At 35.7% G+C, this 12,219-nt stretch overlaps 1 protein-coding gene across 2 annotated transcripts in view; it reads right to left on the reverse strand.

Moving 5' to 3' along the window:
* Window positions 1-12,219, reverse strand: part of ANKRD36C (ankyrin repeat domain 36C) — a 142,893-nt gene that overhangs the window by 23,417 nt on the left and 107,257 nt on the right. For both annotated transcript variants that reach the window (NM_001310154.3, NM_001393982.1), the window contains 7 exons: window positions 11,992-12,020; window positions 11,825-11,897; window positions 10,121-10,149; window positions 9,954-10,026; window positions 8,247-8,275; window positions 8,079-8,151; window positions 4,091-4,164 (listed from right to left, as the gene is read on the reverse strand). In NM_001310154.3, the coding sequence (NP_001297083.1) occupies window positions 4,091-4,164; window positions 8,079-8,151; window positions 8,247-8,275; window positions 9,954-10,026; window positions 10,121-10,149; window positions 11,825-11,897; window positions 11,992-12,020 (380 nt within the window). The remainder of the gene's footprint in view (window positions 1-4,090; window positions 4,165-8,078; window positions 8,152-8,246; window positions 8,276-9,953; window positions 10,027-10,120; window positions 10,150-11,824; window positions 11,898-11,991; window positions 12,021-12,219) is intronic.

Genomic DNA, 12,219 nt, shown 5'->3' on the forward strand with positions numbered 1-12,219 from the left:
AGGATTAAGAAACTCACTCAAAACCGCTCAACTACATGGAAACTGAACAACCTGCTCCTGAATGACTACTGGGTACATAACGAAATGAAGGCAGAAATAAAGATGTTCTTTGAAACCAACGAGAACAAAGACACAACATACCAGAATCTCTGGGACACATTCAAAGCAGTGTGCAGAGGGAAATTTATAGCACTAAATGCCCACAAGAGAAAGCAAGAAAGATCCAAAATTGACACCCTAACATCACAATTAAAAGAACTAGAAAAGCAAGAGCAAACACATTCAAAAGCTAGCAGAAGGCAAGAAATAACTAAAATCAGAACAGAACTGAAGGAAATAGAGACACAAAAAACCCTTCAAAAAATTAATGAATCCAGGAGCTGGTTTTTTGAAAGGATCAACAAAATTGATAGACAGCTAGCAAGACTAAAAAAGAAGAAAAGAGAGAAGAATCAAATAGATGCAATACAAAATGATAAAGGGGATATCACCACCGATCCCACAGAAATACAAACTACCATCAAAGAATACTACAAACACCTCTACGCAAATAAACTAGAAAATCTAGAAGAAATGGATAAATTCCTGGAAACATACACCCTCCCAAGACTAAACCAGGAAGAAGTTGAATCTCTGAATAGACCAATAACAGGCTCTGAAATTGTGGCAATAATCAATAGCTTACCAACCAAAAAGAGTCCAGGACCAGATGGATCCACAGCCGAATTCTACCAGAGGTACAAGGAGGAAGTGATACCCTTCCTTCTGAAACTATTCCAATCAATAGAAAAAGAGGGAACCCTCCCTAACTCATTTTATGAGGCCAGCATCATCCTGATACCAAAGCCGGGCAGAGACACAACCAAAAAAGAGAATTTTAGACCAGTATCCTTAATGAACATTGATGCAAAAATCCTCGATAAAATATGGGCAAACCAAATCCAGCAGCACATCAAAAAGCTTATCCACCATGATCAAGTGGGCTTCATCCCTGGGATGCAAGGCTGCTTCAATATACGCAAATAAATAAATGTAATCCAGCTTATAAACAAAACCAAAGACAAAAACCACATGATTATCTCAATAGATGCAGAAAAGGCCTTTGACAAAATTCAACAACCCTTCATGCTAAAAACTCTCAATAAATTAGGTATTGATGGGATGTATTTCAAAATAATAAGAGCTATCTATGACAAACCCACAGCCAATATCATACTGAATGGGCAAAAACTGGAAGCATTCCCTTTGAAAACTGGCACAAGAGGGCACAAGACAGGGATGCCCTCTCTCACCACTCCTATTCAACATAGTGTTGGAAGTTCTGGCCAGGGCCATTAGGCAGGAGAAGGAAATAAAGGGTATTCAATTAGGAAAAGAGGAAGTCAAATTGTCCCTGTTTGCAGATGACATGATTGTATAACTAGAAAACCCCATTGTCTCAGCCCAAAATCTCCTTAAGCTGATCAGCAACTTCAGCAAAGTCTCAGGATACAAAATCAATGTACAAAAATCATAAGCATTCTTATACACCAATAACAGACAAACACAGAGCCAAATCATGAGTGAATTCCCATTCACAATTGCTTCAAAGAGAATAAAATACCTAGGAATCCAACTTACAAGGGATGTGAAGGACCTCTTCAAGGAGAACTACAAATCACTGCTCAAGGAAATAAAAGAGGATACAAACAAATGGAAAAACATTCCATGCTCATGGGTAGGAAGAATCAGTATGGTTAAAATGGCCATACTGCCCAAGGTAATTTATAGATTCAATGCCATCACCATCAAGCTCCCAAAGACTTTCTTCACTGAATTGGAAAAAACTGCTTTAAAGTTCATATGGAACCAAAAAAGAGCCCGCATCACCAAGTCAATCCTTAGCCAAAAGAACAAAGCTGGAGGCATCACGCTACCTGACTTCAAACTATACTACAAGGCTACAGTAACCAAAACAGCATGGTACTGGTACCAAAACAGAGATATAGACCAATGGAACAGAATAGAGCCCTCAGAAATAACGCCGCATATCTACAACTATCTGATCTTTGACAACCCTGAGAAAAACAAGCAACGGGGAAAGGATTCCCTATTTAATAAATGGTGCTGGGAAAACTGGCTAGCCATATGTAGAAAGCTGAAACTGGATCCCTTCCTTACACCTTATACAAAAATTAATTCAAGATGGATTAAAGGCTTAAACGTTAGACCTAAAACCATAAAAACCCTAGAAGAAAACCTAGGCATTACCATTCAGGACATAGGCATGGGCAAGGACTTCATGTCTAAAACACCAACAGCAATGGCAACAAAAGCCAAAATTGACAGATGGGATCTAATTAAACTGAAGAGCTTCTGCACAGCAAAAGAAACTACCATCAGAGTGAACAGGCAACCTACAAAATGGGAGAAAATTTTTGCAACCTACTCATCTGACGAAGGACTAATATCCAGAATCTACAATGAACCCAAACAAATTTACAAGAAAAAAACAAACAACCCCATCAAAAAGTGGGCAAAGGATATCAACAGACACTTCTCAAAAGAAGACATTTATGCAGCCAAAAAACACATGAAACAATGCTCACCATCACTAGCCATCAGAGAAATGCAAATCAAAACCACAATGAGATACCATCTCACACCAGTTAGGATGGCAATCATTAAAAAGTCTGCAAACAACAGGTGCTGGAGAAGATGTGGAGAAATAGCAACACTTTTACACTGTTGGTGGGACTGTAAACTAGTTCAACCATTGTGGAAGTCAGTGTGGCGATTCCTCAGGGATCCAGAACTAGAAATACCATTTGACCCTGCCATCCCATTACTGGGTATATACCCAAAGGACTATAAATCATGCTGCTATAAAGACACATGCACACGTATGTTTATTGCGGCACTATTCACAATAGCAAAGACTTGGAACCAACCCAAATGTCCAACAATGATAACCTGGATTAAGAAAATGTGACACATATACACCATGGAATACTATGCAGCCATAAAAAATGATGAGTTCATGTCCTTTGTAGGGACATGGATGAAATTGGAAATCATCATTCTCAGTAAACTATCGCAAGGACAAAAAACCAAACACTGCATGTTCTCACTCATAGGTGGGAATTGAACAATGAGAACAGGTGGACACAGGAAGGGGAACATCACACTCTGGGGACTGTTGTGGGGTGGGGGGAGGGGGGAGGGATAGCATTAGGAGATATACCTAATGCTAAATGACGAGTTAATGGGTGCAGCGCACCAGCATGGCACGTGTATACATATGTAACTAACCTGCACATTGTGCACATGTTCCCTAAAACTTAAAGTATAATAATAATAAAATAAAATAAGAAAAGCAAATTCTTACATTTTAATGCAAATTAAACATTGTAATATGATTGACAGTGTTATATATTTATATAGATTATAGGCTTAAGTTCTAAGGTCTACTAATGACAGTGGATTTAATAAATTTAACAATATTTAGAGATTTTCTATATTGAAATACATTAGGCAGTTATTGTTTGTACACTAATACCAAAGGTGCCATTCTGCAAGGTATAATTCTCTTGATAGCCAGTTGGGTTGATTTTATGACCTATTCTCTCCCTGAACATAGAAACTGAAGTCAGAGATCAAAAAGGAAAGTAAATTTTTAACCTTGGTATTAGTGACTGGCAATAAAAAAACTGCAAAGTTTGAACCACTAGCAATAATTACTCCTTTAATCTGAATCCAGTACGGTGGTCATCACTGTTAAATTGTTCATAATTTCTATTGCTTAAAATTGTAATTCAATATTTGATGTTACCTTCTTTATTATAATAGGAAGTTATAAAAATAGAAGTGCAAACAATATCAGGAACTTTTTAACTCAATTCCAAGAGTAAAGATAAGATACAAGTTGCTATAGATTCCAACACTATTTTAAGTTTTATAACTAGTTAAATGTTTTTAAAATGAAATATTAAATTATAATCAACTGATACTAAAAGGCTAATCCAAAGGTAAATTCATTTCAAATATGCTGTATTACCAAAGCTAGGAAAACAAGATTAAACCAGAAATTTGATTTTAAATTTTTACATACCTGTGGCTGGTTATTTTCATATTCTTCAAGCCTCTTTTGCTCTCCCTCTGATGCCATTTCTAAGTCTTGTTCTGCTAAAAAAAATTATATATTTAGTTAAAATGAGCTACACAGAACAGTTAGATAAAAGCCATGGTCAGCGGTGGCTCACGCCTGTAATCCCAGCACTTTGGGAGGCCGAGGCAGGTGGATCACGAGGTCAGGAGATCGAGACCATCCTGGCTAACAAGGTGAAACCCCGTCTCTACTAAAAAATACAAAAAATTAGCTGGGCGTGGTGGTGGGCGCCTGTAGTCCCAGCTAGTCGGGAGGCTGGTGCAGGAGAATGGCGTGAGCCCGGGAAGTGGAGCTTGCAGTGAGCTGAAGATCTCACCACTGCACCTCCAGCCTGGGTGGCAGAGCGAGACTGTGTCTCAAAAAAAAAAAAAAAAAAAAAAGTCTTTCTAAAACCAGAAAATAAAAGTGTTTCAACGAAGCTTAATCTTTAGTATAATATTTACTTCTTTAAGAAAGGCTTTTAATCCTCCAAAACTTCAGCAAACCACTTGGGGAGGCACTAGATGTCACCAGGTTCAAGCCATGCAAACGTGGTCAAAGATTCACTCACAAATTCACCCACCCAACATCAATGAACGAAACCATCAGAAATAAAACAAAATGTAAAAATCCAATAGAAACAGAAAAAGTAACAGCACACTGTTCTTTACTTCACAATAGTACCTTTAGAACAGCACTTTGAGCCTGCTGTTCATTATTAATCATTTCCAAAATGACTGCTACTGTTTACACTTTCATCAGTGTACAGTCTCTTCTTTATATCTAAAATATTTTCCTCAACTATTCTGACAGATTTCTTTCATAATTTAAGACTCAGACAGCTATGTGAAGTCTTCCTTGATTCTGGCTATCTTTCCTCAGATAAACGGTTTTATTTAATACAGGTTTTATAACATATGTAGTTAAGGTTTCTAAAGTGAGATTATGTCTCAACTAACTATAACTGAAATAGAAGAGTGTATCTATTCCAATGTAAACATGTTGACTGATAATGAGAAAAATGATCCTTATAAAGAATAGCAAATCATGATCCTGAGAGAGTAAGTATCAAAGCTGATGGGAGGATGCTATGGCCTATCTTTAATGCAATACTTCAGATTCAATTACACCATTATACTACAAGCATTTATCATGTCCAACTGTTTTTCCTATTATTTAGGAAGTACAAAATTGTGAGGACACTTCCAATAAATATACAATTTATTTCTCATCAGAGAAACTGTTTAAAATTAATCAGCTTAGATAGACAGTTGTAGAATAAAAATTAATAAAACTATTCATTTTTTTCATTCCTAGGTAGGCTACTGCTATGTCTACATTGCTTGTATCCTGCAGTTTGGCCCTGTCAAGAACTTTCTGAATCCACTCATGTAAGAAGATATGTAAACCACATCAAAAATAGTGTATAGGCTGGGTGTGGTGGCTCACGCCTGTAATCACAGCACTTTGGGAGGCTGAAGCAAGTGGATCACAAGGTCAGGAGGTCAAGACCAGCCTGACTAACATGGTGAAACCCCATCTCTACTCAAAATACAAAAATTAGCTGGGCATGGTGTCATGTGCCTGTAATCTCAGCTACTCAGGGGGCTGAGGCAGGAGAATCGCTTTAACCCGGGAGGTGGAGGTTGCAGTGAGCCGAGATTGTGCCATTACACTCCAGGCTGGGAGACAGAGCAAGACTCTGTCTCAAAAAAAAAAAAAAAAGTGTATAATAAGCTTTCAATATGTAAATAATTGTCAAAAATGAAAAAATTAAATTTCCACAGACTTATTAATAACATTTTATACTTCAAAATCAGTGCAATGTTCACTGATTATTTTGGTTTTGTTATTCAAAGAATGAATGCTATAACTTTTTGTTTCTAAAATTAGTTTGATTTGATATACCATGCTAATCTCTAAGACACTTTCATGGAACTGTGATCTTATTTAAAAAAATAGGTTTCTTAGTAAAATCAGTCAAAGTTTCTTAGTTCAAATAAATTTCATTTGATTAACTAATATCAACACTTCTATATAACTCTCATAAATTATTCCCACCACAAATAAAGAGGAAAGCCTCTTAATTTAGCAGTAGTACCTTACATGTATAATTTCTATTTCCTAAATTTGTGTTCCTTTCCCTCTGGCTAGAAACATGCTCAGAAATAGTAGCAAAATGATACTGTTATGTTTCAAACTGCTATCAGATGGCAAACAGGTATATGGAAAGGTGCTCGATGTCACTGATCATCACAGAAATGCAAATCAAAGCTACAATGAGGTATCATCTCACCTCAGTTAAAATGGCTTTTATCCAAATGGCAGGCATTAAGAAATGCTGGTGAGGATGTGGAGAAAGCAGAACCCTCGTACACCATTGGTGGCATTATGAATTAGTACAGCCACTATGGAGAACAGTATAGAGTCCTCAAAAAATTAAAAATACAGCTACCCACATGATCCAGCAATCCCATTGCTAGGTAACTACTCAAAAGCAAGAAAATCAGTATTATAAAAGAGAAATCTGTCCTGACATGTTTATTGCAGCACTTTCCACAATAGCCATAATTTGGAATCAATCTAAATGTATATCAACAGAAAAATGGGTTCTAAAAATGTGATACATATATGGCTCAGCCATATGAAAGAATAAGATCCTCTCATTCACATGACATGGATGGAACAGGAGGACATTATGTCAAGTAAAATAATCCAGGCAAAGAAAGGAAGGCTTCACATGTTGTCAGTCCTTTGTGGGTGTGAGAAATTTCAAAAATAGAGCTCATGGAGATGAAGAGAAAAATCACCATTACCACAGTCTAGGAAGGGTGTGGGGGTGGTAGGAAATGAGGATGCTTAATAAGTACAAACTATAGTTAGAAACAATGAATAAAATGTAGCATTTTATAGCACAAAAACATGACTACAGTCAGCAATAACTTGTCCATTTTAGCATTACTGAGGAAGTACAAATTAAAAGACAGCACAAAGAAATGGTTAACGCTTGAGGTGATGGATAACCCATTAACCATGGTGTCATTATTACACATTGTATGCCTGTATCAAACTATCTCATCTACTCCATAAACATAAACACCTACAATTTACTCATTAAAATTAAAAACAAAAAAATAAAGAAACACACACAGTGTGCTAATCAGAACATCTGATTGGCTTAATATAATAAGTGTAACAAAATTGACCAGAACCAATAAAAGTTAAAACAAAACAAATGTTACAAAATAAAACATTTCATTAGCTAAAAGCCATAATTTTAATTGACTTTTAAAGCAAAACAAATATTTTACAGTATCAAAATTGATCTCTTTAATTCGCTAAAAACTATTGAAATTCCAAATTGGAAACTTCAGAGTATCAAAATGTAAAAGTAGAAACATCTGAATAAAACCTTATATTTTTAGGCCAGGCATGGTGGTTCACACCTGTAATCCCAGCACTTTGGGAGGGCGAGGCGGGAGGATCACCTGAGGTCGAGAGCTCAAGACCAGCCTGACCAACATGGAGAAAGCCTGTCTCTACTAAAAATACAAAATTAGCCGGGCATGGTGGGGCATACCTGTAATCCCAGCTACTCGGGAGGCTGAGGCAAGAGAATTGCTTGAACCAGGAAGGTGGAGGTTGTCGTGAGTTACAATTGAGCCATTGCACTCCACCCTGGGCAACAAGAGCAAAGCTCTGTCTCCAAAAACAAAAAACAAAACAAAACAAAAAACAAAACAAAACAAAAACCTTATGTTTTAAAAATATATTTTCCTTATGCATGTAAATCTCATTTTTGAAAATATAAAAATGATAACAGCTGCATTATTTAGATGAAATCCTGAAATAAAATATAAAAAGTGAAATAATTGAGAATAGAAAGACTATGAGCATTACAAACAGATTAATGTACTTCTTTCCAGAGTTAAATCTACAATGCAAAGTTTACCTGGTGTGGATGTTTGTACATCTTTCATTTTGGTGGCTGTATTCAGAACAGAATTTTTATTTTCAATTGTAGCCTGAATGGGTTTTAAAACAAAGTGATTAGCACATGATGTATATTGGTATAGGTTATGCAGTTAATAATTAAAAATATAAATGTAAGAGTAATTACCTTCAAGGTGGGCAGATTCTCAGGATACTCTAACAAGCAAGAGAAATATATAATCAATCATATGTAAATATGGTAAGGCCAACCATACATTTGTGGAGTGTTAACATCAAACTGAATACTCTTGCCTGTATTAGTGTAGGGTTTCATGTTTTTCTAGTTTGTTTCTTTGGGACAGTAATATGATAGAAATGCAATGAAGAAAATAGGAATACAAGCTTCAAAAACATACAGTTACAAGTTAAAAAGTGAGATTATGCACCACATCTATTGCTAAAAAGAAGTGTTAATATCAATGTGGATATACTGATTAACAAGGAGAAATGTGATCTAAAATCAGAGGAGCAAGTCATAACCCTAGAAATAAGTGTAAAAGCTGGTGCTAACTGCGACTGCATGACTTTCATACAAGACATCAGAAGGCTTTATACCAGTATAACATAAACATTCATCATGCTCTTTAGCTTGTCTGATAACTGAGAAGGTACACAATTACAATGACACTTCAGTTGAACATACACTTCACGTGTCTTCAGTGTAAGTGTCCTGAATTGATCTGCTTGGATATATGTTTGGTGAATCCTAGTAGTTAATATTCATTATTTATCATGCCCATGTGGTGTAATAATCTGCCTACATTTCTTATATCCTCTAGTTTAGCCTTCAGAAACTTTCTTCATCCACTAATGGCAAGAAGGTATAATATATAAACCCCATCAAAAAGTATAATAAATTATACATATTTATACAAAATGGAATTGCTCCAGGCATTAGATATTAATAAACTTATACATTTGGAAATCAGTCCAATATTCATTGAAAATAATCACTTTAGGATTCAATTAATGAATTCAACATTATTTTTGTCTGTAAAATTAGTCTGCTCTGGAATATCACTTTACTATAAAGAATTTTCATTAAATAGCTATTTTAACAAGACAGCCAGCACTTTGGAAAAAAACTAAATATTCATATTAAACTTCAACTCATTTGAATAACTAATAAAAAATATATGTGTGATGTCTGATACTAATAAACATGAATAATGAGGCACTGTGGTTTATCCCAATTCTAGCACTCCTTCTTGATTCCAGTAGTCATTGGAGCAGCCAGAAATCAGATGATCCGGTATGCAAATATTCAAAATGCATCTGAAGTGAGTTCACTCAGGCTTCCTCAGCAGAAACCCCAAAATTACCTAAATAACTTCTTCCTTCCCCTCTTTCTTGCCTTGCAATCCCTCTTTCTTGATGAAAATAATTACTACATCAGTGGTCACCTTGCTCCTCATTCTCCAGTGTTTATGGGTTATTATGACAACTTCCTCCCTCTGGTTTAAGTAGTACCATCTGACATCTATAATTTCTATTACTTTTTTCTCTTTCTCCTTCCCCTTTCCATAGAAACATGCTCTGAAATAAGAGCAAAATTATGCTGTCCCCGGATCCTCTTATCTCTTATATCTTGAACTGTTTTCCAACGGTTCTTCTACACAATTTCCATGTAGGGAAGTCTATAAGCTTGTTACTAAGATCATGGCCAAGGACCAGCAGCATCAACAACACCTGACAACTCAGTAGAAATGCACAATCTCAGGCCTGCTGAATCAGAAAGTGCATTTTCAATGAGCCCCCTGCTGATCTATTCAGGGGTGGGACATTGTCTTCTATCTTGAGTGCACATGACATTAAATGTATATTGCTAAATTACCTGTTCCAGATTTCCAACCGCCCGTTATTCTTGTGGCAATATTCAAAAGAGAAACTTTCTTTTTAAATATAACCTGAATGGAAAGAGAAACAAAATAGTCAATACATAATATATATTTCATAGGCTATGCAATAAATAATTCAAAATATAAATGAAAGAGTAACTACCTTCTGGGCCGATTGTTTCTGAGGAGACACTGAAAAGTAAAAGAAATATATAATCCATCATATGTAAATATGATAAAGTTATCCATACATTCATGCAGTGTTAGCATCAAGCTGTATCCTCCTGCCTGTACTAGTGTAGGATTTGATGTTTTACAGTTTGTGTCTTTGGGACAGGAACATGAGGAAATACACTGAAGAAAATAGGAATACACGCTTCCAGAAAATATACAGTCAGAAATTACAAAGAGGTATTATGCGTCATGTGTGTATTACTGAAATAAAAAGTGTCAATATCAATGTGGATATACTGAATGATGAAAAGAAATGTGATCTAAAATCAGAGGAGCAACTCATACACCCAGGAATCAATGTCAAAGAAGGTACTAAATGCTACTGCATGTTTTTCATGCAAGACATCAGAAGGATTTATACCATTGTACTGCAAGTATTCATCATGCTCTTTAACTTGCCTGGTAATTGAGGAGGTACACAATGACAATGACACTTTAGTAGAATGTACACTTCACAAGTCCTCAGTGGAAGTGTCGCAGCTTCATCAGCTTGGATATAGGTTTGGATAATCCTGTATACAATATTCTTCATTTCTCAAACCCACGTGGTGTAATAATGTGCCTACATTTGTTGTGTCCTCTAGTTTATGCTACAGAAAGGTTCTTCATCCACTCATGGCAACAAAGTATAATATATAAACCATATCAAAAAGTATAATAAATGATCAAATTTGACATACTTATACAAAATAAAGTTGCTACAAGCATTAGATATGAATAACCTTTTACATTTGGAAATTACTCCAATATTCATTGAAAATAACAATTTTAAAAGTCAATTAATGAATTCAAATTAATTTTGTTTCTAAAATAGTCTGGTTTGAAGTATCATGCTACTCTCTAAAGCATTTTCATTAAATTGCTATTTTATCCAAAGTTAGCTAATTGAAAAGCAAAGCCAATATATGTATATTCATGTTTATTTCACTTGAATAACTAATATCAACAAAACATATATCTCTGATGCCCAAGAGTAACAAAGAGGAGTAATGAGTCACTGTGGTTTATCCCAATTCTAGGAGTCCTTCCTGCTTCCATTGGTTCCTAAAGCAGCCAAAATCAAATCTTCTTTTAGGAAAATATTTGAATATGCATCTGAACTCACGTTTCCTCAGAAGAAACAACAAAATTACCTAAATAACTTCTTATTTTCCCTCCTTTCTGCCTGACAATCCCTCTTCCTTGAGGAAAGTAATTTCTACATCAGCGGTCTCGTTAGTTCTTGTTCTACAGTGTTTATGGGTTATTATGATCACTTTTCCGTCTGTTTTTAGGAACACGATGTAATGTCTGTAAAATCTATACTTCATCTCTATCTCCTACCACCCTTGGTGAAAACATGCTGTAGAATTAAAGCAAAATTATGCTGTACCCTGAGCCCCTTGTGTCTTGACATGCTCTCCAATGTTTCTTCTTCCCAATTTCAATGTGGGGAAGTCTATAATCTTACTTCGAAGATCACGTCCAAGACCAGCAGCATCAGCGTCACCCGAGAACTTATTACAAATGAAGAATCTCAGGTCTGCAGAATCAGAATGTGCAGCTTCGACGAGCCCTCCGTTGATTTATTTGGGAAGAGAAGTTCTTTTCTATCTGGACTGAACATGACATTAAATGTGTTTTGCAAAATTACCTGTCCCAGATTTTTCTCCATCCTTTATTTCTCTGGCTATATTCGAAACAGAATCTTTCTCATCACCTGTAGCCTGAATGGAATTTGAAACAAAATAATAAATCAATAAAGTATGTTTCATAGACTATACAATTACTAGTTCACAATATAAATAAGAGTTTAATTACCTTCAAGGCTGGTTGTCTCTGAGAAGACACTGAAAAGCAAAAGGGATACATAATCACCCACATGCACGTATGATAAAGTTATTCATACATTCATGCAGTGTTAGCATCAAGCTGTATCCTTCTGCCTGTATTAGGGTAGGATTTGATGTTTCCTACTTTGTGTCTGGGGATTGGAACATGACAGAAATACACTGAAAAAAGTAATACAGCCTTCATGAAAAATATACT

This window comes from Homo sapiens, chromosome 2 (assembly GCF_000001405.40).
Source record: "Homo sapiens chromosome 2, GRCh38.p14 Primary Assembly".
In the NCBI taxonomy this organism is placed as follows: Eukaryota; Metazoa; Chordata; class Mammalia; order Primates; family Hominidae; genus Homo; species Homo sapiens.